Source organism: Homo sapiens, chromosome 2 (genome assembly GCF_000001405.40).
Source record: "Homo sapiens chromosome 2, GRCh38.p14 Primary Assembly".
In the NCBI taxonomy this organism is placed as follows: Eukaryota; Metazoa; Chordata; class Mammalia; order Primates; family Hominidae; genus Homo; species Homo sapiens.
The window spans coordinates 232,555,732-232,583,700 of NC_000002.12; the positions used below are offsets into that span (position 1 = coordinate 232,555,732).

A 27,969-nucleotide genomic window follows, 5' to 3' on the forward strand; every position below is an offset into this window, starting at 1 on the left:
CATAGATTGCTAGAGGAGGAGGATCCTGGCTGGCAGGAGTCAGATTCTAGAGGATCTTACATTTTGCTGTACTTTATCTTAGAGGGTAGGCATCAAAAAGCGAGGGACAGTTGAAAGTTTAAAGCATGCAAGTTAAATGTCAGATTTGCACTTAAAAAGATAATGCTAGTGAAAGGATGGATAGAGAGTGAGAGATTTGTGTCAGGAAGACCAGGAATTTATTATATGATTGACGTGTCAGGAGAAGAGGGCCTAAACTAAAGTAGTGACAGTGAGTGTAGAAGAGGTGGTAAGGAGAAGTGGCAAAGCAGATAGTACGTTTTTAACCTTCATTTGAAATGCCATAGCATTAGAGACTCTTCTCATTTTTTACTCCATTTTTGGCAGGGAAAACAATCCCTTAAACTGTATACCTTAAACATTCCCTTTAACTGGTTCTTTGTGTGGCTTTTTAGAAAACTGAAAGACAGTGCTTTGTGGAGTTCACAAGTTAGCTGATGGGTGTTTCGTTTTTGTTTAATCCTAATTTGCCTGTCTGTGTTATTTTGCCCTTCTTACATCTCAGGGCCTGAATTTGAGTGACTTTGGGTTGGTTACATAGTAGTTCGTATGACCTGGTGGCTTTGTTAGGTAAGCAAGAATTGACTTCGTCACAGAATTGTATTGTGTTGCCTTTCCATTCAGTTTGAAAGATGATGACAGTGGGGACCATGATCAGAATGAAGAAAACAGCACACAGAAAGATGGTGAGAAGGAAAAAACGGAACGAGACAAGAATCAGAGCAGTAGCAAGAGAAAGGTGAGTGTTGGCTGCACAGATGTAGTTGCCTTTGAACTTGAGACTTTTATTATCTTGTGGAATCTGTTTATCTGGAAGATACCAGATTAACTTGATGGCATCCTGTGTTGGAATATCTGACTTTGTTCTCAGAAAAACATTGTGCAATCATTGATGTTCATTTTCAGACCTAGAACTTTTCTCTTGCCACAGAATCTTGAGATGCTGCCTTGCTTTCAACGTTCTCCTAGCCTGAGATGGAGATTAGTCCTGGAGCTTAACAAGGCTGTTAGCTGCTTCATAAGCCACTGCTGAGTGTTTCAAATCCTACATACCCCTTGAAATTGTAGACAGTTTAGTCAGCAATAGTCTAAGGTGAAAGTGACTTGGAAAAGGGAAAACTTAGGGAATGAGAGAGAGAGAGAGATCAATTTTTTCCTTGAAATATCAAAGCAGGCTGGGTGCCATGGCTCATGCCTGTAATCCTAGCACTTTGGAAGGCCAAGGTGGGTGGATCACTAGGTCAAGAGATCGAGACCATCCTGGCCAACATGGTAAAACCCCATCTCTACTAAAAATACAAAAATTAGCTGGATGCTGTGGCGCGTGCCTGAAGTCCCAGCTACTGGGGAGGCTGAGGCAGGAGAATCGCTTGAACCCAGGAGGCAGAGGTTGCAGTGAGCCGAGGTCGCGCCACTGCACTCCAGCCTGGCAACAGAGTGAGACTCCGTTTCAAAAAAACAAACAAAGAAATATCAAAGCAATCACTAATTCATTTATTCTACAATATTGAGTAACCCTCCAAGGGTTACTAGCATTTTATGCTAGATGCTAAGAGGACACAAAGGTGAATGAGACTGTGGAAGGGGCTTACGTTTAATAGTACCAATAATAATACTGACATCTGTTGTGCACGTACTCTGTGCCAGGCACTGTGCTCAGCATTGTATATCCACTGATTCATTTGATCCTCTCAGCAGTATTGTGAGATGGTTGTTACAATTTTCCTCATTTTGCAGGTAAGAAGATGAGGCACAAACAGGTTAAGTAACTTGACAGTGATGAATCTCATAGAGGAGGCAGTGCTTGGACTGGGCATATGCTGAGATAAGATACAAAGATGAATACCTATTATATGAGGGAGAAAGTTACAAAGGCCATAAGAACACAGGTAAAGTGTTTCAGGAATTTAGAATCAGTTAACCACTGAGGAAATGTACTGTGTAAGCAGAATCTTTGGCACATTGCAGATAGTTGAGGTTGTATATCCTTTTTTAATTGTGGAGGTGGTAAGGATTGACACTGCAAAATGTTCTCTCAGTCTCAGACCACGTGACAAATGCCCAGGACTAACACACCTTCTTTACTTCCCAGGCTGTTGTCCCTGGACCGGCAGAGCATCCCCTGCAGTACAACTACACTTTTTGGTACTCCAGGAGAACCCCCGGCCGTCCCACGAGCTCACAGAGCTATGAACAGAATATCAAACAGATTGGCACCTTTGCCTCTGTGAGTTCTTGGTGAATTAATGGAGTGTGCCTTGATAGTTCGTTCATGCCTGTATTGATATGATGTTTATTTACTTTCCTAGTAACCTATTTAAGATTCTGGTTTTCTTAATTGACTGACCTGAGTCTCCGGAGTCAGATTTGTTCATTCTTAGGTTTCTCACTAGATATCCATGGTTAGCATGTAGGTATCAACAAATATGAGAATTGTAGAGTTGATCAGAAGGGCATAATACAAAAGAACAGATTTGGGTTTTTTTATTTTTATTTTTATTTTTTAATTGAGACAGAGTCTCTTGCTCTGTCTCCCAGGCTGGAATGCAGTGGTATCATCTCAGCTCATTGCAACCTCCGCTTCCTGGGTTCAAGCAATTCTTCTGCCTCAGCCTCCCAAGTAGCTGAGATTACAGGCATGTGCCACCACGCCCAGCTAATTTTTGTATTTTTAGTAGAAACGGGGTTCCACCATGTTGGCCAGGCTGGTCTGGAACTCCTGACCTTAGGTAATCCACCCGCCTTGGCCTCCCAAAAGGCTGGATTACAGGAGTGAGCCGCTGCACCTGGCCCTGTTTTTTTTTTTGTTTGTTTTGTTTGCTTGTTTGTTTTTTTTTTTAAGTATATATTTATGGAGTCCTTACTAAGTTCAAAGTGTCATGGATACAGAAGTTTATAATACATGGTGTCTATCTTCATGAAGTTTGACAGTAAAGTGAAAAATTTTGAAAGTTTTGTATTTAAGAACCTCCCATTAGGGTTTTGGCTGTATTAATGATTATGCATAAAATATCTTTTTCCTGTGTTCAGAAAGAAAATGAAATCTCTAATAATTGCTTTTGTGGGTACTGGCAGTCAGAGAGCCCAGACTGTCTCATCTCTCTCCCAGGTGACTTGGTTTGTGTACCCCAAGAATCCATCTGCAACTAACACCACTCTAGTTGAACAAAGGTTATTATGTACCCAGTGTGTGCTGTACATTCAATCTCTGGGCAGAATCAAATGTGGGGTTTGTCATTTTCTTGAAATTGGTGAAGTATTAGTCCTGTTTAAAATGCAGAAACTACGGGGGAGCGGGGAGGGATAGCATTGGGAGATATACCTAATGCTAGATGACGAGTTAGTGGGTGCAGCGCACCAGCATGGCACATGTATACATATGTAACTAACCTGCACAATGTGCACATGTACCCTAAAACTTAAAGTATAAAAAAAAAAAAAAGAATGATTCAGTGTAGTTGTATGCTAGATATATTATATGGAATTATCAGCAGTTTACCAGTTGGTTCTTTATTAGTACTCCTGATGTCTTAAACAAAAATGAATAATTGTTTATCTTTTCTCAAAGTGTCTCATCTGTTCAGTAACAATCACGGTTTTCTCCAACAGTCTTGCATATTACTTTTTTTTAAAGTGCTTTGGTTTGAAAAAAATAAAAAAATAAAATAAAATGCAGAAACTAGAAAAGAATACTCCAGTAGGAAATACTACAACAAACTGCTAAGGAGGAAGGACATATAATACATACTTTATTTGTATAATTTCCTTCCAACATTATGATAGCCCTATGAGGTCAGTGATATTATCCATGTTTTACAAATGAGGAAAGTAAAACTTGGGTTAAGTGTCTGATCTAAAGTCTCAAGTTATGGTGGGGCACGGTGGCTCATGCCTGTAATCCCACCACTTGGGGAGGCTGAGGTGGGAAGATTGTTTGAGCCCAGGAGTTTGAGACCAGCCTAGGCAACGTGATGAGACCCTGCCTCTACAAAAAAAGTTTAAAATTAGCTGGCTTGGAGAAAACGGGAGCATTAAAAAAAAAAAAAAAAAAAGGCTGGCCATGTTGGCATGCACCTGTGGTCCCAACTACTCAGGAGGCTGAGGCAGGAGGATCAGTTGAGCCTAGGAGGTTAAGACTACAGTGAGCCTTTTTTGTGCCACTGCACTCTAGCCTGGGCAACAGAGATAGATCCTGTCTAAAAAAATTTTTAAATTCTCGAGTCAGTCATAATTCACTGGATTAAGTCGAGGAGCCAGTATAATTGAAACTCAGGTACAGAAGCTTCCAGATAGCTGAACACATGGAGGTGCCTGGAGGGTGGTGCGCCTAGAGGGGACATAGAAGCTCCCTGAACCTTCCTCCATACCTTCCCCCATACCTTGCCCTACGCATCTCTTCATCGTATCCTTTGTTTATAATAAACCAGTAATGTAAGGTACCAAGACAATAACCGGGGAAAGAATCGTCTTTTCAACAAACATTGCTGAGACAACTGGATTTCCAGGTGCAGAAGAATGAATTTGCATTCCTTCCTGACACCATACACAAAAAGTAACTAAAAATGGATCATAGACCTAAATGTAAGAGCTAAAATTATAAAATTCTTAGAAGAAAATATTAGTAAATCCTAATGACCTTAGGTTAGGCAAAGCCTTCTTAAGTAACACACTAAACGCACAAGCAGCAAAAGATTAAATACTTGGCTGGGCGTGGTGGCTCACGCCTGTAATCCTTGTACTTTGGGAGGCCAAGGCAGGAGGATGACTTGATCTCAAGAGTTTGAGACCAGCCTGGGCAACATAGTGAGACCCCATCTGTATAGGATTTCATCAAAATTCAAAACTTTTCTGCTTCAAAGGACGCTATCAAGAAAGTGAAAAGATAGCCTACAAAATGGGAGAAAATATTGCAAATCATATCTAATACTTGTATCTAGAATACTCTTACAACTCAGTTATAATCTGCTTAATATGAAATCAACATCATTACTATGCTGAGCTGATAAAATTTCAGCCTAAAGCAAAGATCTTGTTTAGTTTGCCAGTGCTATCTTAGAATCAGCAAACTTAGGGGTTTTGTAATAATAAACTACCTTGTGCACTGGTTCATATTTGGTTCAATAAATGCTTGTTGAATGAATTCAAGGCTCTAGTAGGCTTCTAAAAGGAATGAAGGCACAGATCCTGTCCTTGGGGAAATAAGATGTGCCCAGGAATTTCTAATACAGGGAAGACAGTAAGTGATACTATGGGAAAGGCATTTAGAGTGCTCTTGGAGTTTGGAGGAAAGAAGGAATTGATTCCAGTTTGGGGAATACTGCCTTGGAAGAGATGGGTTTAAGATTGATTTTAAAGAATTTGGCCAGGCCTGGTAGCTCATGCCTGTAATCCCAGCACTTCGGGAGGCCAAGGTGGGAGGATCGCTTGAAGCCAGGAGTTCAAAACCAGCCTGGGCAACATAGTGAGATCTTATCTCAAAAAAAGATTTTTTTGGAGTAATTATGCATACTTCTTGCATTTTTATTTCCCTCTTGTGAAAAAAAAAAGCATATAAGAATTTACCCAAATTGTACGAGGAGGGTTTTTCTTTTGTTTCAGTGTATATGTTAAGGAGTGGTTTATCATCAGGACTATCTTGGGTTAAGGCTTCATCCATGCTCACTGGATGTGTGACAGTATTTAAAGTCTGTCATTTTGACTCTGTAGGTCTGGACCTGAAAAATAGAAATAAAGTCTGTTGTGTAATTCAGGTCACTAGGAAATGGCTCACAATATTAAATGCATCACAGATAAATAATTACATTATGAATCCTTTTATCAAATTGAAAGCAGTGTTTCCCAGTGATTCTTAGCCTAATCATTAACAACATTTAAAAGTTCTTGAAGTCAGAGTGACTAGGAAGGCATCATCTTGAAATGGAAAGAGCACTAGACTTGGTAATCAGAGCTCACCTATTCTGATGCTTGACCCTCTTGGTTAGAGCAACTCAGTCCTGAAACCTTTCTCAACTATAAAACAAGTTGCTGACATGATTTCTGAGGTCCTTTCGGCACCTCATATTCTGAGTCTGTGAATGCTTATTTTTTTTTTTGGTTTCAATTAGAACTGTCAAATCTTTTAAAGTTTAATAATATTTCTCAGGCCAGGCACAGTAGCTAATGCCTGTAGTCCCAGCACTCAGGGAGGCCAAGGAGGGAGGATCACTTGAATCCAGGACTTCAAGACCAGCCTGGCAACAGTGTTAGACTTCATCTCTACAAAAAAAGTAAAAAAATAGCTGGGCATGGTGGTGCCCACTTGTGGTCCCAGCTACTCAGGAGGCTGAGGCAGGAGGATTGCTTGAGCCTGGGAAGTCGAGGCTGCAGTGAGCCATGATCACACTGCTGCACTCCAGCCTGGGTAACAGAGCAAGACCCCATCTCAAATGATGAATGAATGAATGAATGATAGTCTCGAGCTGTTTAACTTCATCTCTCTTATGGTTTGCATATAAGATTGTGCAGTGGGGCTGGGCGCGGTGGCTCACGCCTGTAATCACAACACTTTGGAAGGCCAAGGCAGGTGGATCACCTGAGGTCAGGAGTTCGAGACCAGCCTGGCTAACATGGTGAATGGTGAAACCCCATCTACTAAAAATACAAAAATTAGCCAGGCGTGGTGGTGTGTGCCTGTAGTCCCAGCTACTCGGGAGGCTGAGGCAGGAGAATCACTTGAACCCAGAAGGCAGAGGTTGCAGTGAGCTGAGGCAGGCTGCACCATTGCACTCCAGCCTGGACAAAAAGAGCGAAACTCCATCTCAAAAAAACAAACAAAAAAAAGATTGTGCAGTGTAGTTGTAAGATTGGGGAGACCAAACTGTTAAAGCGATTATTGACTGGGGAACTGGAGATGGTTGACATACTTTGTCCTCACCAAGCCCCTTTCAGTTCCTTATTCACAATGAGCCACTAGTGGGTGTACTTGGTTCTAGTGGGTATATGTGGTTTTATTCAACTATGTTAGGGTGGATAAAGGTTTACATTATTGCCGATTGTATTCATATGACCATTTACTATTCCGAGTCACTACATGCAGCTAAGCTTAGCAGTTGCTGAGTATAAAGCACTGCCTTGAAGCCCTATAGATGGCGTTAGTTCTGACTTCTTTTTACCATGTAAGATGCATCACGTGTGCTTGTGCTAGAGAGGAACTAAAGGGACAGCCATTTCACGCAGTGTAAGGCTGATTTCTCCTTAGGTGCTCCCCATATCTAGAAGTATGACCTGAATCTTTGTCTACTCGATACCCATTGTCAGCTCCACAGTTGTGGTATCTTGCTGTATGTTGATTTAGAGCCTGCTCAGCAGTTTAGCAGATACCAGCTATTTCTCATTGGAATGTTCCGTGTTTTCTCTTTCCTCCTAAAGTGTGCCTCTTCACTGGCCAGTACTTACTACGTATCCTCTGTGAATAAGGAAATAATCTTTCCTATCAAGACACTAGTGAACCTGTAGTCCCAGCTACTTGGGAGGCTGAGATGGGAGGATCCCTTGACACCAGGAGTTAGAGGCTGTGATGAGCTATGATCATACTGCTGCGTAGACCCTGTCTCTTTTTTTTTTCTTTTTTTTTAAGGGGAGGGGGGGTGACACTAATGAGAAAAACAGGACTACTGTGATGAATACAAATAAGCATATACTTGATGGAAAAATATAAATCTAGTTTTCTCACGGGATTGTGAAGGAGCGGCAAGGAGAAACATAATTTTTCTAGCTAAGAAGAGGGCCTTAAACCCTAGCTATGAGAAGCTAAGTCCTGTATGATTTTGGATTGGCCTGGACTTAGCAACAGCACCATGATGTAGAGTGGTATGTGTGGTACATGTGGTTGATTCTATCACTTACGCTTAGTAACTAAACAGGTCTAAGAGGTATTTACATGTGGTTGATTCTATCACTTATGCTTACTAACTAAACAGGTCTAAGAGGTATTTCATTCAGCAAATGCTATATTTGCCAGTTAAACAATCTTTCATCGGTAAGTGATTTGGTTCTAAAAAATGCATTCAGGCTGAGGCTGTGTGACACTTACATACCTCAAGGCTAAAGAGTTTCCATTGTGCAAAAACCTGGTCCTCTTACTGCATGTGATGACTACCCTGCAGCTTGAGTGGGAGAGTGCGTATTAACATGGTTTCACCAACTAAAGCTCCTGGCTGAGGCTTGCATTTCTCACCAAAGATTTTATTCTTGAATTGCGAATGTTACATTTTTTATTTTGTCAAACTAGATGGTATGTTTTTCCTCTAATATGTCTTCCCTCACAACACCACACATGAAAATGAGTCCTCTGAAAAGGACAGCCTGTAGTATAGTGTCTTCCATGCTTATGTTCTTAACTAAATCTCAACCTTGGGATGCATTCAAAGAAAAGTAAAAGACACATGTTTTTTACTCTGGGGTCTTCTCTCTGCAGGTGGAGCAGTTCTGGAGGTTTTATAGCCACATGGTACGTCCTGGGGACCTGACAGGCCACAGTGACTTCCATCTCTTCAAAGAAGGAATTAAACCCATGTGGGAGGTAAGGACTAATGGCTTCTGACTGCTTTTTTGAGCAAGTTTGGGTTTTTTTGTTTTGTCTCTTAGCCCTGCCAAGGTTAAAAGTATTTTATTTTATTTTATTTTATTTTATTTTATTTGAGACGGAGTGTCGCTCTGTCACCCAGGCTGAGCGCAGTGGCGCGATCTCGGCTCACTGCAAGCTCCGCCTCCCAGGTTCACGCCATTCTCTTGCCTCAGCCTCCCTAGTAGCTGGGACTACAGGCGCCCACCACCGCGCCCGGCTAATTTTTTGTGTTTTTTAGTAGAGACGGAGTTTCACCGTGTTAGCCAGGATGGTCTCGATCTCCTGACCTCGTGATCCGCCCGCCTTGGACTCCCAAAATGCTGGGATTACAGGCGTGAGCCACCGTGCCCAGCTGGTTAAAAGTGTTTTAAAGTCTCTCAAAACTGCATCACTCTCCAGTATATCCTTGGAACCCGAGCCTCTAGAGAAATGCACTGATGCCATTTTTTGTCTGTGTGGGTTGGTGCTGGGTGTTTTTTAAAGACTGTTTTATGACTAAAATGGTATTAGAACATTAAAGGATTTTTGTTTTCAGTTACCTTTATCCTTATAGAACTTGTTTGTGCGTGTGTGTAATATTTTTACATAGTACACATATGATTAAAGTGGGTAAGAAAATAAGTTTAAAGGCAGGAACTGGAGACCTAGAACTTTGCAGAGCCAGTATTCGGCTGCGCCCTGGTGTAGTGCATCTTCTATTCTGGTGCCATGGCATTTTTCGAGAAGACAAATGTGGTCACATCCACGCCACCCATCTTATACAGCTCCTCATTGCTCACATGATCTTGCACCTCATTTACCTTTCAAGCCTCATCTCCCATCATCTCTAAATCTTCCCTTCCCTGCAGGTGGACCCTCCTGTCAGTTTATGCACAGACATGTTCTTCCCAGTGCCCGCAGTGCCCTTCAGCTGCTTTTCCTGACTCACTCCCGTTGACCTTAAGACCCACTTCTTGGCAGGGCATGGTGGCCCATGCCTGTAATCCCAGCACTTTGGGAGGTCGAGGTGGACAGATCACCTGAGGTCAGGAGTTTGAGGCCAGCCTGGCCAACATGGTGAAACCCCGTCTCTACTAAAAATACAAAAATTAGCCAGGTGTGGTGGCACGCGCCTGTAATCCCAGCTACTCGGGAGGCTGAGACAGGAGACTCACTTGAACCCAGGAGGTGGAGGTTGCACTGAGCCAAGATTGTGCCACTGCACTCCAGCCTGGGTGACAGAGCGAGACTCCATCTCAAAAAAAGAAAAGAAAAAAAAAGACCCACTTCTTGACTGTTTCCAACTATCTTGTTCTTCCTTAACATAGTGTGCATATCTGTTAACAGCAGCACTTATAATTATAGTATCATTGCTGTAATTAATATCCTTGGCTGTCTCTTCTACTGGACTGGATCTGAGTAGAGATTGGGGCTTCAGCCAGGCGCAGTGGCTCACTCCTGTAATCCCAGCACTTTGGGAATCCGAGGCAGACAGATCACGAGGTCAAGGGTTCGAGACCAGCCTGGCCAATATGGTGAAACCCTGTCTCTACTAAAAATACAATAATTAGCCGGGTGTGGTGGCATGTGCCTGTAGTCCCAGCTACCCAGGAGGCAGAGACAGGAGAATCGCTTGAACCCAAGAGGCAGAAGTGGCAGTGAGCCGATATCGCACCACTGCACTCCAGACTGGGTGACAGCGGGAGACTCCATCGCAAAAAAGAAAAAAAAAAAAACTAGATTGGGGCTTCATGTCTGTGTACTTGGTATGTAGTGACAGTCAGTACTTTTTTTTGTCGTCGTTGTTGTTTTGTTTTGTTTTGTTTTTTGAGACGGAGTCTTGCTGTGTTTCCCAGGCGGGAGTGCAGTGGCACGATCTCGGCTCCCTGCAAGCTCTGCCTCCCGAGTTCACGCCATTCTCCCGCCTCAGCCTCCCGAGTAGCTGGGACTACAGGCGCCCACCACCATGCCCGGCTAATTTTGTTTTTGTATTTTTAGTAGAGACGCGGTTTCACCGTGTCAGCCAGGATGGTCTCGATCTCCTCACCTCGTGATTCGCCCACCTCAGCCTTCCAAAGTGTTGGGATTACGGGCGTGAGCCACTGCGCCCAGCAGACATTCAGTACTTTTAGCAAGTAAACGGATGATCTGTGCTTGAAATATGACATCATTTCGTTTTGATTCCTAAAGTATTTCCAGTAAAGGGGATTATTTTTAAAAGGTCTGTTTAGCCATTTTAATAAATGGCTTATGCCAAGGATCCCAGCCTTGTTTTTCTTTTTTTCCCCATTTCTTCTCTCCCTAGTCCTACCATCAGTTTTTCTATAGAGTTGAATAATTGGAAAGTGATATGACTTCTTAGTGTTTAAGAGATTCTTGGCTTTTTACTGCCTTCATACAAAAAAAGGCTGTGAAACCATATTTTAACTTCAGTGCTTTCTGTCTTTTTACAGGATGATGCAAATAAAAATGGTGGCAAGTGGATTATTCGGCTGCGGAAGGGCTTGGCCTCCCGTTGCTGGGAGAATCTCATTTTGGCCATGCTGGGGGAACAGTTCATGGTTGGGGAGGAGATCTGTGGGGCTGTGGTGTCTGTCCGCTTTCAGGTAAGCCACCCATGAGCCAGGCTGGTTTCTTGTGTTGCCTTTGCTCTCCTCGCTGCCCCTGATTTGCTTTGATGATTCCTTCTGTTCCTCTGGTAGGAAGACATTATTTCAATATGGAATAAGACTGCCAGTGACCAAGCAACCACAGCCCGAATCCGGGACACACTTCGGCGAGTGCTTAACCTACCTCCCAACACCATTATGGAATACAAAACTCACACCGACAGCATCAAGTACGTGTTGGGGGGTTATGGGAGGACGTGTCCCTAAGCTTAGTATAAGTAGATCTGTAGTTGGGCCCAGAGGAATATGGCCGGACAGGAGACTTACTTGTGGAGAAGGGACAGACCAGGCCTTCCCTCTAGGGCTTCTGGCTACTTGCTGCAGTTCTTTGTCAGCGAGGCTCCCTGCCACCTATACTACCAGGTGCTTTGTAGCAGAGAGAGCCCATCTGCAGAAACCCAGTTGTACTACCTGGGCTTGCTTAATTTCTACAGGCTGTCTTGTCTTTCATATGCTAACCACTATCTTAAAATGAAAGACAAGTGCTTTTCTTTTTCTTGCTGTTTTTTAAGATAATTTCACCCTGCCCACCCTCACCCCACTTCTGCATGTCTTTTTAACTTGTTAGCTTCAGTCTATTTTCTTTGTCCTGGGATACTGACTACTTATCAGGAATGACTCCATTTCCTTGTGTATAGAGCTGACTCTTAGAAGAAGGGGGATAGTGTGTGTGTGAGAGAGCAGAATCAAAGGGAAGCATGAAGGCCACAGGGAAAATAAGCTTGGCAATCTCCCTAGGACTCAGGGAAATAGAGCTCTCTGTCCACAGTGAGAATCACTGTTAGGCTTGCTCCTCAGTGATTGAGTGTCAGAAGTAAGCTCAGGCTATTGTGAAAAAGTGTGGGGAGTGGCTGTCAGATTGTCTCAAAGCTGGAGGGAGAGCTAGCCAGCTAAGAGTTAGGACTCTTAGGTTTAGTTCTCTCATATGGCCCCATACCAATATGTGCCTTTGACAAGTGTCTTTGCAACTTTGCTTCAGTTTCTCCATCTGTAAAGTGGGAGACAGTACTTTATCTAACAAGGCTATTGTGAGGCTGATTTAATCTTTAACTGAGGGTCTTCAGATGGAGAATGCTTTTACGGGGCCAAGTAGTAGTATTGCTATCATCATCATCATCATTAGTAAGAATATCATCATGTTGTTATTATTGAAGGCTAGTAGTGAGCCCAGCAATTATGTTCAGCAGACAGACCATTTGGGAATCTCTTTCCCATGCATTCATAGATAATGTGGAGTGGAGTTGGCTTAAACCAGCTAAGTGCCAGTTTTTAAGTGGGAACACTGCTATGGGCGTTGGTCCATGATCAAACGGCTGGCATGACTCATCATAGTCACGAACAGTTATTAGCCAGCCATGGCTGTGGTTGCTTGCCTTAGCAGTCCTGTGTTAGCATTGCTTTACTCTGGGCACATTTTTCTTATTCTCTATTCTGGGATAGAAGTAGTTTCTGACTTCTAGCCACGTTCAGTCCAGGCTGGAGAGATCTACACCTGTTTCTAGGATTCTCGTTTTCAAGGTTTCTGAATATCCCCTACTCCCACTTACCCCCAAAATAAGCTTTTTACCTGGATAGGAGAGGGAAAGAGGTATTTTTCATCAATTCTCCCCTTCTCTGCTCTTCTCCCTTTCTAATACCATAAGGCAGTTCTTCGTGACTTTTACAGAAACATATGTACACGTCCTTACAGAGTTTAGGAGAGCCTGTGGGCTTTTTGCCTTAGTCTGCTAGAAAGACTGGCCTGCTGCTCTCTGCTTTATCCAGAGGTCTGCCTCTGGGACTTCAGCCCTGTAGCTGTAGAGACCAGAAGACCAACCCTCTTTGAGACCCAGATGCTACTTTCCCTTGCGTCCCCCTCTCTTTCCTCTCCCAATGAGCCAACCTTTTGCACTTCCACTAGAATGCCAGGCAGGCTGGGCCCCCAAAGGCTCCTTTTTCAAAACCTCTGGAAGCCGCGGTTGAATGTGCCATGACCCTCTCCCTCTCTGGATGGCACCATCATTGAAGCTGGCGTCATCGGAGTCTCTTGTTCTGTTGGCGTGCTACCTGGAAGATCCTTCTGTCCTGGACAAGAGGAATTGGAAGAGCATTTTATGTTTTAAGAACAGGCTGACACGCAGCAGCTACAACAACAGCTGAGATCACTTAATAAATGGTGCTAAACTAGCTTGTCTCATGCTCTTGCTCTTTATGGTGCATCAAAGATGTGGCCTTTCGGACTGACTGTCACCATATTAAGGGATGGCACAGACTTTTCCATGGAGGGCCATCCGGGGAATGCAGCCTCATTTCCATAAGCCCATTGTGTAGTGTCATGTGGTATTTTGTTCCAGGACTGCTGAGGCCTGACATAATAAGGTGACATCTAGCTTAGAAAATAAGACCCCATTTTCTGGTACTTAAATTTGAGTTCCCATCTAGTCACACCGATGACCAGAACAGAGTGATTTCTGATATAGAATTCAGCTTGAAAGTCTGTTCAGGTTGGAAAGGGGGATCCTTGGCCTTTGCTTCGCTGACTTCCATTCGCCTTTACTTCAAAGAAATCTCTTGCTTGGAGGTAAATCCCTGCTTCTGTCTGTGTGGCTGTGTGTATATAGCTTCCTTGCTTTGTGCTAATGGGGTTTTCTCGCTGGTGCCAAAGCTGCCCAAGCCACAGCTCTTTTCCAGCCTTCTCCCTTCTGCTTTCCCTTTAGAGCCAGGTCATCTTCCTCTTTGAGTCAGCCCTGCTTGCAAGATCTCAGGGTTACAGCCCTTCCCTTTCTCCTGGGCCCGGTGTTACTGCACATCAGGATCTGGGGTAGGGGAAACGTCTTCATCCCGTGTGAGTTTGCTCTGTAGGATATCTGACCGTAGCACGTACGGACCCCTTGTGTGCTTTGTGGCTTTGGCTTGTATGTGCTGCAGCTTGGCCTTTAGGCCCCTAACCTGCATGTAGAGTTTCAGCAAGCCTCATGCTACTTTAGGTTTTCTTAGGAGCTACCACCAAAAACATAATAAACAATCATTTTTTTGCAAACACTGGGTCAGCCTGCCTGAGAGGATCTGTGAAAGTGTCTGTGGACTTAAGGTTGAGTTTTCCAGAGTGGCTGTTCCACTTTGGCAGTGATACCCTGTGCTTGTACCATCCTGACTTACCTCTGATCTCCATGTGGCCCAAGATCCTGCATAACACCTATTAGGATTAGCACTGTGGGCTCAGTATTCTAGGGGTGTTTGTGTCATTGCATCTTTGTTTATTACATATCCAAAATTGGTTGAAGTACCTATAAAATGAGAGATTTGCTGGAATATGGAAAGGCCCATTCTCTACGTTTTTAGTATTTGTCAAAGAATTACCTTCTCTGGCTCTTTCCCTCTTGCCTTCAAAAATTGTTACATACATTAACTTTAATTTCAGCTGTATTGTAACTGCTCCAGGGGATAGGCTTGATGTCACCTCCCAGAGTAAGAGTTGATTAGAAGCACCAAACTGACCTTGAGACCCTTCTGATCCTTGTCAATATGAACAAAAGTCAGAACTATTTCTGCTTTCTTCTATTCCTTGTGGCTCTTCCATGGATATGACTTGGTTTGAGCCAAGGAACAGCTGCTACTGAGACTTAAGAATTCCAAGGAGGCCGGGCGAGGTGGCTCACGCCTGTAATCCTAGCACTTTGGGAGCTCGAGGTGGGCAGATCACAAGGTCAGGAGACCAGCCTGGCCAACATGGTGAAACCCCATCTCTACCAAAAATACAAAATTAGCCGGGCATAGTGGCAGGTGCCTATAATCTCAGCTGCTCGGGGAGGCTGAGGCAGGAGAATTGCTTGAACCCAGGAGGTGGAGGTTGCAGGGGGCTGAGATTGCACCACTGCACTCCAGCCTGAGCAACAAGAGCAAAACTCCATCTCAAAAAACAAAGAATTCCAAGGAAAATGAAGGAAGAAGGAGCCAACATTTGTTTTCCTCCGAGTACTCTGGAGATAGGGCTGCTGGTGGTGAGGGGAGTTTTTTAAGAGTAGCTTAGATTTTTCAGTCAGGTGTTCCTGATTCCTGCTTGCTATTTTTGGCCCAGTTCCCAATGTCCTTCTTCAACCGTTGGGTTTTTCCAGCCTTTCCCCAGTCACACTGCTTGTGGCCTTTTCCTGCTGTTCCCCTCAGTGTGCTACAAGGCACTGCCTGCCGCACAGAGCAGGCGGGTGATGAGCTGCTGTGCTGCAGAGGGCTCCTGCTCTTGTTTATTGCTGACAGTTCATTCACCCCTAAGACGTGGACAACTTGTTAAACTGAGTTCTTGCTCAGGTCATAGCTCCTTTTAATGAGGCCAACTTGTAGTCGAGTTTTCATAGATGTGGGTTCCCCATATTCTCTGCTTTGAGGAGAAATCTCATAATACAGTCAGAATCGTGGGGCTACCAGGATAAAACTGGGCTCGGAGCCATATGAAACAGCAATGTCTTTTGTGAAGAAACTCCTCTTTGGATTAGTCCCACTGATTCCTTTTGTGCATCTAGCCTGGAATGGAAAAGGAAAACAGGCCAAATTCCCATAGTGGGCTACAGCACTGGGAAAGACTGGCCCGGCTTCTCTGCAGGAGTGGAGGGTGGGTGATTCTCTTTATTCCTTTATCTCAGAGAAGAGACAGGTCAAATTGTGGAGGCTTTCCCACATCTAGATATCATTGTATTTCAACACTGAACTTTTATAGGCAAGGACCAACCCATTCCCTTCTCCTGGCATGGCTAAATCATAGTCCAGTAGCACCAGGTTACCCCAGCTTAATTGCTGGCCTGGCTTTGCATCTGTGATATGTACCACCGAACTGGTAGGCAAAGCGAAGAGAGCCCAGATTAGCAGGAGGCTGAGCCCCTCCCTAAGTATAGAGAGCAGTGAGCGCAAGGCTATGAACCTTGCAGCCTTTGGGTAGAGGTAGGGGGAAGTGTAGAATTGCACAGGATTTGCTTTCTGGTACGTGAGATGGGCCAAGAGTGGTCTTAAAAGAGCTCTTTGTTCCTCTGTCTTTTGAATCTGTTCAGAATTCCTTGTTGCCTATATTAACCTCTAATTAATTTTTTCTGTTTTTAGAAACTCCAGTCATGACACTTCTTACATTTAACTTGTTCTTTCTTTACCTTTAAAAGAAGGAAGTTTTAATATTACCCAGTATGCCTGGAATGCCAGATGGAAAATAGCTAGACTATTCACACCTAGTTTTAGGTGGTAGATTTGCCTCTTGGCCGAGCTGTGGGCCTATGAGAATAAGAGTGATTATACCAAAGATTATGGCCCACTATTTTATTTCCACTGATTCCATGTGAAGAAATTTCTTTTTTTGTTTTGTTTTGTTTTGTTTTTCTGAGATGGAGTCTCACTCTGTCACCCAGGCTGGAGTGCAGTGGCGCGATCTCTGCTCACTGCAACCTCTGCCTCCTGGGTTCAAGCGATTCTCTTGCCTCAGCCTCCCGAGTAGCTGGGATTACAGGTGCCCGCCACCATGCTTGGCTAATTTTTTGTATTTTTAGTAGAGACGGGGTTTCACCATGTTTGCCAGGCTGGTCTCGAACTCCTGAACTCAGGTGTTCCGCCTGCCTCAGCCTCCCGAAGTGATTACAGGCGTGAGCCATGGTGCCCGGCTGTGAGGAAATTTCTTAACCCAGGTTCTTCATGTTGAGGTTTAACATATAGTGAAGAGACTAATGAAGAAACTGGGAGGGGAATGTAATACTGGAATGGAGTAGGAGGGAGCTGTGAAGTCCATATTTCTTCAGGTTCTTGACAGAGAGAACTGCTCGGTGTAGGCTAGTGTAAGGATGGCCCTTCCTGGAAATAAAAGGATAAATGACATGAAGCTTCAACACAGCCATGTAATTTCTTGTTGACACCTAAGTGGTTTAAAAAGGAATTTAAATCTCAGCATTACAGTGAGGGGTTTCCCTGGGTCATTGCCAAAGCATTGGATTTTGCTTTGCCCTTGTCTTCATTTGGAGTAAAGAGTCAAATTGCCTTCTGATGTCACTCAGGGATTCACAAAGCACATCACATCACCATCTTTCCAGAAAGAGCTCTGAAACAGGTGTCTTGCTGTGGACACTGAGTTTGGGAATTGACAAAGACTGGCACACTTGTTTGGCATTCTTACATTTTTCCTTAATTTAGTTAGCACATACACTAGGAGCTTTGGTAATAATTCTCTGAAGAAGCCATGAACTGCAGGTCTACCTCCTCTAAGAGGTAAATGGTTAACTCATAAATGTAGTGTATTGTCACCCTGGGTACTGTGTCACCAAATTAAACCAAGAATGGAGTAACAATAATGAGGAACTTCAGACTTAGAAGCACCATATTTTATATATAATTCCCAAGGAACTCCTCATTTTGGGGCTGAAAAGTGGCTAGGGCTTAGGTAGGAAATCAGCTCCCCTGAGAAAACTTGAGTTTGAGCCTCCAGAAGCATAGGGGGTCTGATTTTCTCCTGTGACTAGTCCAGCAGTCACCAAGAGTCTTTTCTCTGTAAGCGAAAGGCCACGTACCACTTCTGTCACATTTCTTATCCCTTCCCAACCCTAATTTCATAGTTAAGCTAGTCAGCATGAAAATTGTAATGGGCATTGTTCCCTGGAAATTTTGAACTGCCGTGACTTTAAATTTTCAGATAGTAGTTACATAAGCACTTAAGAAACAGGTGGAACCTGACACATTGAAGGTCTGAGTGTAGAAGGGTTAGAAGGTCGGAAATATGAAAACAGAGAAAGTGTATACTTTCCTCCTTGCATCTTTAGACATCATAATGCTGTTGGAAACTGGCCTTTACCCTCAGTGAGGCCTGATGAAGAAAAATTGTTTCTACCACCTGTGCACACATAGGCAAGGCAGAAAGTACAGGGAGTGCCACTGTAAATTGGAAGTGTTTTTGGTGACAGTTGAGCATCAGCTCTGACCTTACTGGCCTCCCCTGGAGCCTTGTTGAAGGAACACTGGTGCAAATCCTTGAGGGAACAGGGGCAGACTTCTCAAGTGAAGCAAGCAGAAGTGCCCGCTGGCCCTGAAAGGGTAGGCTGCTCTGCTCCTCGGAAAGGAAAGTCCAGTGGGACCTCGCTGCTCTGCTCCCAGGTACCTGTGGCTCCACTCGGCTTGGAGGGCATCTGAAGGGGGATGTGGGGTTATTGTGTCTGCTCTCTGTGTTCAAAAGCTTTTGATCTGAATGTGCTATTGTGTTTTTTGTCTCTGGTTTGCCAGGGCCTGGGAGGAGTTTCATGGCCTGGTGAACAGCAGCGGCCGCTGATCGGACGCTCCCCCTCTGTCTCTCACACTCAGGGTAGGGCCTTGTCTATCTTCTCTGTAACCCTGTGACATACCTCTCATCCATAGGACCCCTCTTCCCATTTACCCCCAAACTTGCCTCTACCAACATTGAGCCTCAGAGAAAAATATAAGTCCCAAACCACTGGATTCTCATCCTCCCTGGGTCCCATGTCTCCTGGTGAACCCCTGAGCAGGCTACGTCACCTTATTATGCCCCTATTTTCTCATCTGGAAAATGAGGCTCCATGGATGAACAAGTCTCTGAGATCTCTTTTGATGCTAACATTTCATGATGGTAAATGTGCCACAGATGCTTTTTCTTTTTGCTCAAATGTGGCCATTTTTAAGCCATCTGGCAATGTCCTGTGAGTAAAAGGGCAGTTCCACAGGCCCCAACATGAGTTACATGAGAGGTATGTCTCCTGTTTGCTGGTGTCATGTGTCAGTTGTGAGGAAACAGTAATATAAATTCAGCGTTTCAGCAATGTCAGTAACGGGGCTGGATTTCAGGACTGTGTGAGTAGCAGTTGTTCCAAGCTGTACTTTCACTAGACCAGCACAACTGTACTAGTAGGGAGAGGCACTGAGGTACAAAGACTGGGCCAACTAAAGCATTGACTTTGGGAATATTTGTATTTCAGTTAAGAGAGTATCAAGTCCATGTTTGTCTCTGTAGCAGAGGGAGCTGGGTAAATTTATTCTGAATGAGAGGAATGGATGAAAGGCCAATGTCTGCATGAGCTAGAGATGACAGCCTTTTCCTGGACATCAAACTACCCCTGCCACTAACATCCCTAAGAAATAGAGTAGTTGTAAAATTGGAACAGAACATGTCAACTGTAGTAGCTACCTCAAAATTCCCCCTTCCCTAGAAGGAGACGAGCGTTTTCCAGAAAAGGAGACCTGCATCCCTCCCGTGGGCTAGAAGAGACAAGATGACACTCTGAGGGACAGCAGCAGGTGGCCAGGGCCTGAGAGCTCAGGGGTGTAGGTATGATATACAGATAAAACACAGTTGCAGAGTTCCTGCACACACAAGTGATGCCACCCATACCTTTTTTGTTTTGATAGTTTGATTTCTTTATTATAAATTCAGTCTTCTGGTGGCTTAAAATTTAAAATGATTCTCTTTAAGATATAGTCAACATTAGTGCCTGGTATCATGGCACACGCCTATTGTCCCAGCTACTTGGAGGCTGTGGTGGGAGGATCACTTGAGCCCAGGAGTTCAAGGCCAGCCTGGGCAATATAGTAAGACCCTTGTTTCTAAATATATGTCTGTGTATGTGTGCATATATATAAGTGTCTGTATATATAGTCAACATAGAATTCCAGGAGTGCTGCTAGTATACACAAAGAGGGAGGAAAAAGGTACCAGCTTTAATAGTAGATAAATCATTGATTTTTAGGCTAAAAAATAGTAAATATTTGAAATAAGATATTAAGTTAAATTTTCAGAAGCCAGGTGCTATAATGGAGCTGTTTTTAAAATACTACCATATTTAGTTATTTCTAAGATTTTTTTGGCTTTTAATATTTTTTTTCAATCCTGTTCCTTCTGTAAGCCTTTTAATATTCTTAAAATTGGGGTGCTTTGCTGGGCGCAGTGGCTCACGCCTGTAATCCCAGCACTTTGGGAGGCCAAGGCGGGCAGATCACGAGGTCAAGAGATCGAGACCATCCTGGCCAACATGGTGAAACCCCGTCTCTACTAAAAATACAAAAATTAGCTGGGCGTGGTGGCACACACCTGTTGTCCCAGCTACTTGGGAGGCTGAGGCAGGAGAATCGCTTGAACTCAGGAGGCGGAGGTTGCAGTGAGCCAAGATCATGCCACTGTACTCCAGCCTGGCAACAGAGCGAGACTCCATCTCAAAAAAAAAAACTGGGGATGCTTACAGTGAATGTGATTTTAAAAGGTTTTGTCATAGTTTAATGGGCAGTGTTTACTTCTTAAAGTACATAAAATGATGTACCTTTAAAAATTGATGGCATCTGAGGTTCAGTGAAAAGTCTTTAAAATGAAAGCGGAATAGTCAGAATGGAAGAAAACTCAAAATAACTCCCACCCCTCTTGGCAGATTTAATCCCCTAGGAAAAATATCTTTGAATTGCCGTAAAAAGTCATATATTTGCATAATTGCCATTTTGTGGTCTCTTTGTGGCCCCCGTGTCTTTTTTTATACAGTGTGGGAGGCAGACGAAGAGAACACTCGTGGTTCAGGTATTTTCCTTAAAGCACAGGCTTGGAAGTCCGTGAAGAGTGTTTGAATTTAAACCAAAAATTATTCTGAAAGTAGGGGGGAAAAATGAATTTACACAGCAACAACAAAAAATCCACTCACTTCATTGTCTTAATAGACTTGAAAAGGACTTCATGTCGCATTTCTATTGATTTAACCTCGCTGTAAGTGAAAGAGATGTTCGAGAAGATATGCATCCCTGGCTTACGTTTGTTGGGTCTGCCATTTTAGAGGCCCCTTAACATTTTAGCCCTCTCTCCCTTTTCTTTTTCCTCCAAATAGATTGTGATCTATGAAGAAATTTGGCAGAGAAACTGCTATTTAAATAATTCTTCATGAATCACAAATATTTTTCCTCAATTTATCTGCTATTTTATGTCATTACCTGTGACTGTTAGTATTTTAGGACAATTTCATTTGACTCCTGTTGGAAATAAGTGTTGCCCTTTTAACTATGACTTCAGTAAAACTCTCAGTGAGCTGATAGGAAAGGATTCTGATTACTCAGCTGTCTAGGCTGGTATACACAGAGCAGTGAGTCTGTATTGTTGGGAAATGAAGTTGGAATAAAATAAAGTTGAAGACGAGAGACTGGAATTTGCCTCACTGAAACTAGAAAGAGTTTGCAGCTTTACTGAATATGCAGGGAGAGAAGAGGAAGCCAGAACTGGCCTGGGGTGTACAGCTAATGGCCAAAGAATGTTCTCCTGAAGACCATGTGCACTTAGGTCTACGGGACCCCTCAGAGCCAATCTTCAGAGCAGAGACATAGGTAGCCTTCCTCCTTGGATGACTCCCAGCTTTCACTTGAGAACCCAGAATCACTCAGGTGCCTTTGCCAGGCACCAGCACAGTGGCAGTTAACTCCCAAGAGAGGGGAGGACATTCTGAATGACCACTTTGCCCCCCTGTCATCCATTTTCAGGAGTTAATCTCTGCCGTAGTTCATTGTTTTCAGAGTTGGAACTTGTCCATTTCTCTAAAAGTACTAAAAGATGACCATTTTAAGGTAGAGCAGATTGGAAAGCTGTTTCAGAGTATTTGGACAACGATTTTCCCCAAGATACCTGGGAATGTGAAGTTGGAAGCCAGTCTGAATGGGGCTCTCGGATATTTCTGAGACATCATCAGGACAAAGGAACATCTGGTAGAGAAATAATTCTTTTTTTTTCTTCCAGCATTGTGGGACTGTCAGCTTCTGTGTCCTCTTTGGTGTCCTAAGCATAGCCCATTTGCTGTCACAGCTTTGCCAGATTGCTAGAGGGCTAGCTTTCAGGAACTCACTGTGGATTTGCTAAATTTTAGTTTGCTTTTAAAAGAACAGAAGCACATTGTTTTTTAAGGGGTCGCCTGTGGCCTCTGCCCCTTCCTTTCTACATTCTCCCTTTCTCTGCCTCCTAATCTCTCTGCGCTGAGCCTAGGGTGAGGGATGTGATGGAGTATCACTTCCCAGCTGGCTTGAGGTGAACACATTCCTCAGACCAAATTTGGCATCAAGCTGTTCTCAACCCACTTTTTTAAAGAAGGCTGGACCAAAGCCATAGGGCATCACTGCCACCAGCCTGTGTTAGTCTGTCACTGTCAGGAGCAGGCCACCCCCATTTGCTGTTCTGTTTTCCTCTTAAATCAAACTGGAAAAACTCAGCTGGATTCTCCTGGCTTTTCCTTTACTCTTCTCCTCCCCCTTTTCACTTTGCAAGTGGACTTTAGAATATGATTTCTTAGGTTTTCTGACTATAAAGTGGTCTATATTAACAAAAATATTAAGTATCTGAATGAGGCTGGGCACGGTGGCTCACGCCTGTAATCCCAGCACTTTGGGAGTCTGAGGTGGGCGGATCATGAGGTCAAGAGATCGAGACCATCCTGGCCAACATGGTGAAACCCTGTCTCTACTAAAAATACAAAAATTAGCTGGGCGTGGTGGTGCACGCCTGTAGTTCCAGCTACTTGGGAGGCTGAGGCAGGAGAATCGCTTGAACCCAGGAGGCGGAGGATGCAGTGAGCTGAGATTGTGCCACTGCACTACAACCTGGTGACACTCCATCTCAAAAAAAAAAAAAAATCTGAATGAGAAAGTGTTTTTAGAGCTCTCCAGTTTATCTGCTACAGAGAAAGAATTTATTTCTGGCCCACCTAGTACAATAGAGAAATTCTTCCAAAAGATAAGATGACCTGCTTATGGTAATGATTACCCTGAAAATCCTTTTTCCGTCACTAAACAGCTGAAAGAGTTGGGGCCAGACACTTGCCTGCCATCTCCTTTACTCCAAGATAGATAATTGCCCAAGTCAGCAAATTCTCTGCTCCTACCTTCCCATATCCCTGCCTTTCTAGTTTCTTTTAATAAGAAGAGCAGAATCCCTCCTGATAGACTTGTGGTGTCCAATGATTAGGTGGGCATAGACGTGCCTGTAAAAGGGAAGAAATGGAACAGAGCCATCTGTTCCTGTGAAATCACTTTCTTTAGTATTAAGTGTAGGTACAAAAAAAGTGTCTTTTGTAATGCATCTCTGTAACACAGCATATTTTCCCTAAGAGAACTCAGAAATACACACACACACACACACACACACACACACACACACACACACACCAGTTATGCTTGCTTTTCTCTGTGTTATGATCAGATATGTTCCTTATCCTTTGCTAGCTACTTGTGGCATCTCAGAGGGGTCTATCCTTTTGAAAAGAATTTTTTAAAAATACCATTAGCCTTTTAAAAAGATGACCACCCTATTAACTTTGTTTTCAACCTTCAGCTCTTTAGTTGAAGATAGTTGAAGTGCTAAGTAGCCATTGATAAATGAACCACATGGTCATGCATGCCAGCTATAAAATACCAGTGGACTTTTGAGATAACATCAGTTTATTCCCAGCCTGAGTTCACCTATACCAGCTCCAGTTTTTCTTCTCAGTTCTTGTCTGCAGTCATTCTCTTTGTGTAGTCGGGGGCTGTTGGTCACTGTCAGCTGACCGCCATCATGGAGGAGGATCTGTTAGCCAGTAACAGAAAGAAACTGCTGTTTGGCTGGGCTGAGCATATTCTTTCCTTAGCACATATTTACTCTGAACCAATTGCCATATGTCCCATTAATTATAACAATTTTAAGATAGGTCAGGCTGAGCTTGTAATCCCAGCATTTTGGGAGACCATGACAGGAGGGTCACTTGAGCTCAAGAGTTCAAGACCAACCTGGGCAACATAGTGAGATACTAGGTCAGTTAAAGCCAGAGCTTCTAGAATGTCCCTTTAAAATCAAAGAGAAATAATGACTCCAGAATCCAGGTAAAATTTTCTGACAAATTGAAGTCCACAGCACTGGGCAAGGGCAGCAGCCTTAAAGTCCCTGCCAGCCTGAAATGTTGAGACTCAGATGGTGACAGGACCTGCTAGGATGTCATTAGATTTCTAGGGTGGGACAGGAAAAGTCACTAGTGGCTGGTCAAGCCTGTCTGCATCCAATAAAAGGCAACTAAGAGGACACATATTGGGATCCCCCACATACATACCACACACACACACACACACACACACACACACACACACACACACACACACTTTCAAGAATTAGAGCCATGTTTCTAAAGTAAAGTGAAAGGTACCCAGATTTTACTTCCTGGAATATCCTTTCCTTCTGTAAGCAGCTCTAAGTTTTAAACTGAGGATTCTTATTTGGTTGGTTGGTTTGTTGGTTGGTTGGTTTTTTGTTCATATAAGACCAGGTGAATCATACAATGTTTTCAAAAGTGTGTGTTAGATAAAAAGAAAGGGGGGGAGAGAGAACATCTCCTTCTCAGGCTTCCTCCATCTGCCCAGTTTCTAGTGTGCCCCTTCCACCTCCACTGCCCCATGTAACCACTGTTGTTGGTTTCCTGTGTAGCCTTGCAAAGTTTCATAATGTATATATGAGCAAGTATGAACCTATAACCTTGTTTCCCTACCCCCATTTACACAGAAGGTAGTATACCGTGTGTACACACTACACCTTAAGCTATCAGTTTATCTTGGAACCCTTTCCACAGTAGTAGAGAGCTTCCTTGTTTTATTTCTACGAATGTGCCCTAGCATTAATATTTAACCGGTCCTCTCTTGATCGGCATTTGAATTGTTTCTAATCTTTTGCTGTTGCAAAAAATTGACTGGAAGTTTTGCAAGGGACTTGGGAGGTGGGTTGCCGTTTTGGCATTAGATTGGCAAGTGAAGAAGGCCCCGGGATATGTCATGGAGACCCCGAGGGCTGATGAGTCAGCATCCCCCTGTATATGTGTGCTTCTGTATAGATGATCCTTGTATTGAACACTCTATTTTCTCCCATTTTTTTCTTTCAGGGACAATTCAAGCTTTCGAAATACAAAAATCACATTGTGAGAGTACACAAGCTGGCAATAATCCTTTTCTGTATGTGTGTGTTTGTCCGAAATGGATGGGAGGCCTCCAGCCAGTCCTTCCATTGCTCACTGAAGGGACGTCCCTGAGCCGTGCGCTCTCCTTTTGCACTCATTCCTGGAGGACGGATTCCGCTAGACACCCTCCAGCATCGCTGACTTTATAAAGCGGAAAAACGGAAAACGTGACTTTGTAATAGACAAACATTGTTTTTTAATGGGGTTCCATGGGGGGGCGTTCAGCCTTTCTGTTTGCTGTGTGCTGTCCAGATGCCTCTTGGGCGTCCTGTTGTTCTCTTCCCGTGTTGTACGAAGGGTACCGTGGCCACGTGTACATGCCAGAGCTGTTGATGAGAGTTACCAGTATTATGAATGTCTGTGCATCCAGGAAAAGTGTTCTGTTGGAGAGTCCCAAAATAGCTGTAAATGCTCTCTTCTAGCTCTGCCATTAAATTATTGGGACATTTTGTTTCTTTCTCTCCCCTCCTCCAAGCCCACCACTTTCTGAAGCTGTGTTACTGATGTGATGACTGTCCAGGATTTTGTATCATCCCCTGCCTTATGCCCTCCGGTCTCCTCTCCTGTGGGACTCTCTCCTTCTTAGGCACAGCTGCACTTAGAATTGTAATCCAGTGGCTCTCACTGGTTTCACTGAGGCAGCTTAGAGGGAATGCCTTAGTAAACTGAACTGGAGCAGAATCTAGTTTGATTAGGAGCTAGATTATAATCTAGGTTCCAAGTACAGAATTTGGAGCTAAGGACTGTGACTGAAATCATTTTCCCATATGAGCAGACCCTGTGTGTCAGGCCTGTTTCCCATATGAGCAGAGCCTGTGTGCAAGTCTGTTTCTGGCATGTCCCTCATTGAGGAAGGGAAGCAAAAGCTGGTTATTGCCAGGCCTATTAACACTTAATATGCAAATTCTATCATCCTGAAACTGGGGCATCTGAGGAAAAGGTGACCTTGCTGGATGGCTTTATTTGCATGGCTCTGCCTGTCTGCAGTGGTTGAGTCCTCATCACCTGGTATGTGTATGAGCAAATGTGTGCTGATTGTGATGCCCAGGCAGAAACCTCTTGAAGACTGCTGCAGGCATGCTTTAAAAATGACCAGTCACTCATCAGAGAAGCTGGGTGATCTGACTCCAGAAGGACTGAAGTCAGAGAAGTCACAAGAGCACCTAGGATTCAAATAAATAGCGTCAGAGTCCTATAGCAACCTCCAAGTAGCACCGTCTTACTTGGCTCTTGTGAGCAAAGACTGCAGTACCTTAAATTAAGGCCTCTCTTTAAAACATATGTGGAAGACTAGGGGATCCTTGGCCACCTGGTCTCAGAGAAATCATATGAGAGTAACAGGCATTTCCTTATTGTATTTGTACTACACTCTTCCTACTTTTCCATTCCTGAACACCCTCTAATTACCACTGTTTTGGGGATGCTTTTTTTCTGAAAGAACGGGGAGTACAGGGGCCAAAAGGGAGGTGCTTCTATTACAGGGCAAGTTAGATCAGATAAGAAGATCTAGCAGTGATTTAAACTCCAGGAATATGAAGAGTGCATTCTGGTGTCCAGACAGTTGTGAAGGGCTCGGCAAATATAAGAGCACCATTGGCTACATGGAGAGCAAAGGCTGTCTTTGAAGACCCCAGGGAGGTCTTCACTTTTGCCTAAATTCAGATTTGCCGTGAAAATTCCAAAGAGAGCAGATATTTGGATTTGCCCTCCTTTGGGCATCTACCTGACTGTTGTGTGTGTGGGAAAGTCAGTGTGTATGTGTAGAGTGTGCTTAGGAGTGAGTGAGTGGTCAGGCCTCCTGGCTAGGTGTGTTGTCCATAGTTTTGTTGTTGTTGTTGTTGTTGTTCAGAGTTTTGAATCTTACGTTTTCTAGAGCTGCTCATGTTTTCCCTTCCTTTTTGTCGTTGTAGTATTTGACAGTTGTCTTTTCCATCAAAAACATACTGGCCCTAGGCTGGTTAGAGCAAGGGGTTATGCCTGTTAGGCAGCATCTTACGCCCAGTGTTCTCCCAGATATTCTGCCTAACAGGTTTAAGTAGGAGATTAAATAGTCAGTTTATCTAAACCCTCTATTTTTCCAAACTAGCTTGAGAGGTCTTTTCATCTATTTTTACTCCATGGGCCTCTGATATGCTGAGATGTGGCACGGTTATGATTATGGTATCACCGTTACAGAGGCAAAGGGATAAAGGTCTACCAGGGCCAACGTAACCAGAATGTGAGGAGAGTGAAGAGTCGGTCTCCGCTTTGCACAGTACCAGAATGTGAGGTTGCCACTGGAGAGTGGAGAGTCGGTCTCCACTTTGCACAGTTGGAGCTGTTCTCCTCTAACTCCTTTGCTGGGTTTTCTGTTTGAAATTGGCCCCTACTCCTCTCCAGCCCTTTACTGGGTTTTCTGTTTGAAATTGGCCCCTACTCCTCTCCAGTGTCTGCTTTTTGAATCCTTCTGTTCGTGTGTGTGTGTGTGTGTGTGTGTGTTCCCTATGATACTGGCAGTGGCAATAATTTTCCACCCAGAGAGAAGCTTGTGGTCCACAATGCTCGAAGAATGAATTTCCAAGTATTTGCCAGTGGAAACGGAGCAGAGGCTATGACAAGAGTGATTTAGTGTTGCACTTTCAGAGCAATTATCTACTGCAGTAATAAATTGAAAATATCAGCAAGAACCAGGTCGTGGACTTGTCAATACAAGGGAACCGGGGGTACTGTTACTCATTCTACC

General features: G+C 43.8%; 1 protein-coding gene and 1 long non-coding RNA gene across 9 annotated transcripts in view, besides 1 other annotated feature; one reads left to right on the plus strand and one right to left on the minus strand.

Annotated features, from left to right (window-relative positions):
• The window catches only part of EIF4E2 (eukaryotic translation initiation factor 4E family member 2), a 32,956-nt gene extending 5,043 nt beyond the window's left edge, over positions 1-27,913 (plus strand). For 2 of the 7 annotated variants that reach the window (NM_004846.4, NM_001330202.2), the window contains exons 2-7: positions 685-799; positions 2,153-2,287; positions 8,516-8,620; positions 11,098-11,250; positions 11,347-11,483; positions 13,214-13,479. In NM_004846.4, the coding sequence (NP_004837.1) occupies positions 685-799; positions 2,153-2,287; positions 8,516-8,620; positions 11,098-11,250; positions 11,347-11,483; positions 13,214-13,286 (718 nt within the window). In that variant the 3' untranslated portion in view covers positions 13,287-13,479. Of the gene's footprint in view, positions 1-684; positions 800-2,152; positions 2,288-8,515; positions 8,621-11,097; positions 11,251-11,346; positions 11,484-13,213; positions 13,480-18,531; positions 18,611-25,172 lie in introns of those variants that run through there. The other 5 variants (NM_001282958.2, NM_001276336.2, NM_001330203.2 and 2 more) reach the window with 5 other exon arrangements.
• Positions 12,167-13,366: an enhancer, noted in NCBI's record as "BRD4-independent group 4 enhancer chr2:233432608-233433807 (GRCh37/hg19 assembly coordinates)". NCBI's record gives its function as "activates an origin of replication core promoter dependent on BRD2, P300/CBP, MED14 and CDK7 cofactors, and independent of BRD4, by STARR-seq in HCT116 cells {active_cell/tissue: HCT116}" and the evidence as "EXISTENCE:reporter gene assay evidence [ECO:0000049][PMID:35650434]".
• The window catches only part of LOC105373929 (uncharacterized), a 30,817-nt gene continuing 28,271 nt past the window's right edge, over positions 25,424-27,969 (minus strand). The window contains exons 7-8 of one of the 2 annotated variants that reach the window (NR_187950.1): positions 26,253-26,410; positions 25,424-25,573 (exon numbers count right to left, since the gene is read on the minus strand). This is a non-coding gene — a long non-coding RNA (uncharacterized LOC105373929). Of the gene's footprint in view, positions 26,411-27,969 lie in introns of both variants that reach the window. The other variant, NR_187951.1, reaches the window with a different exon arrangement.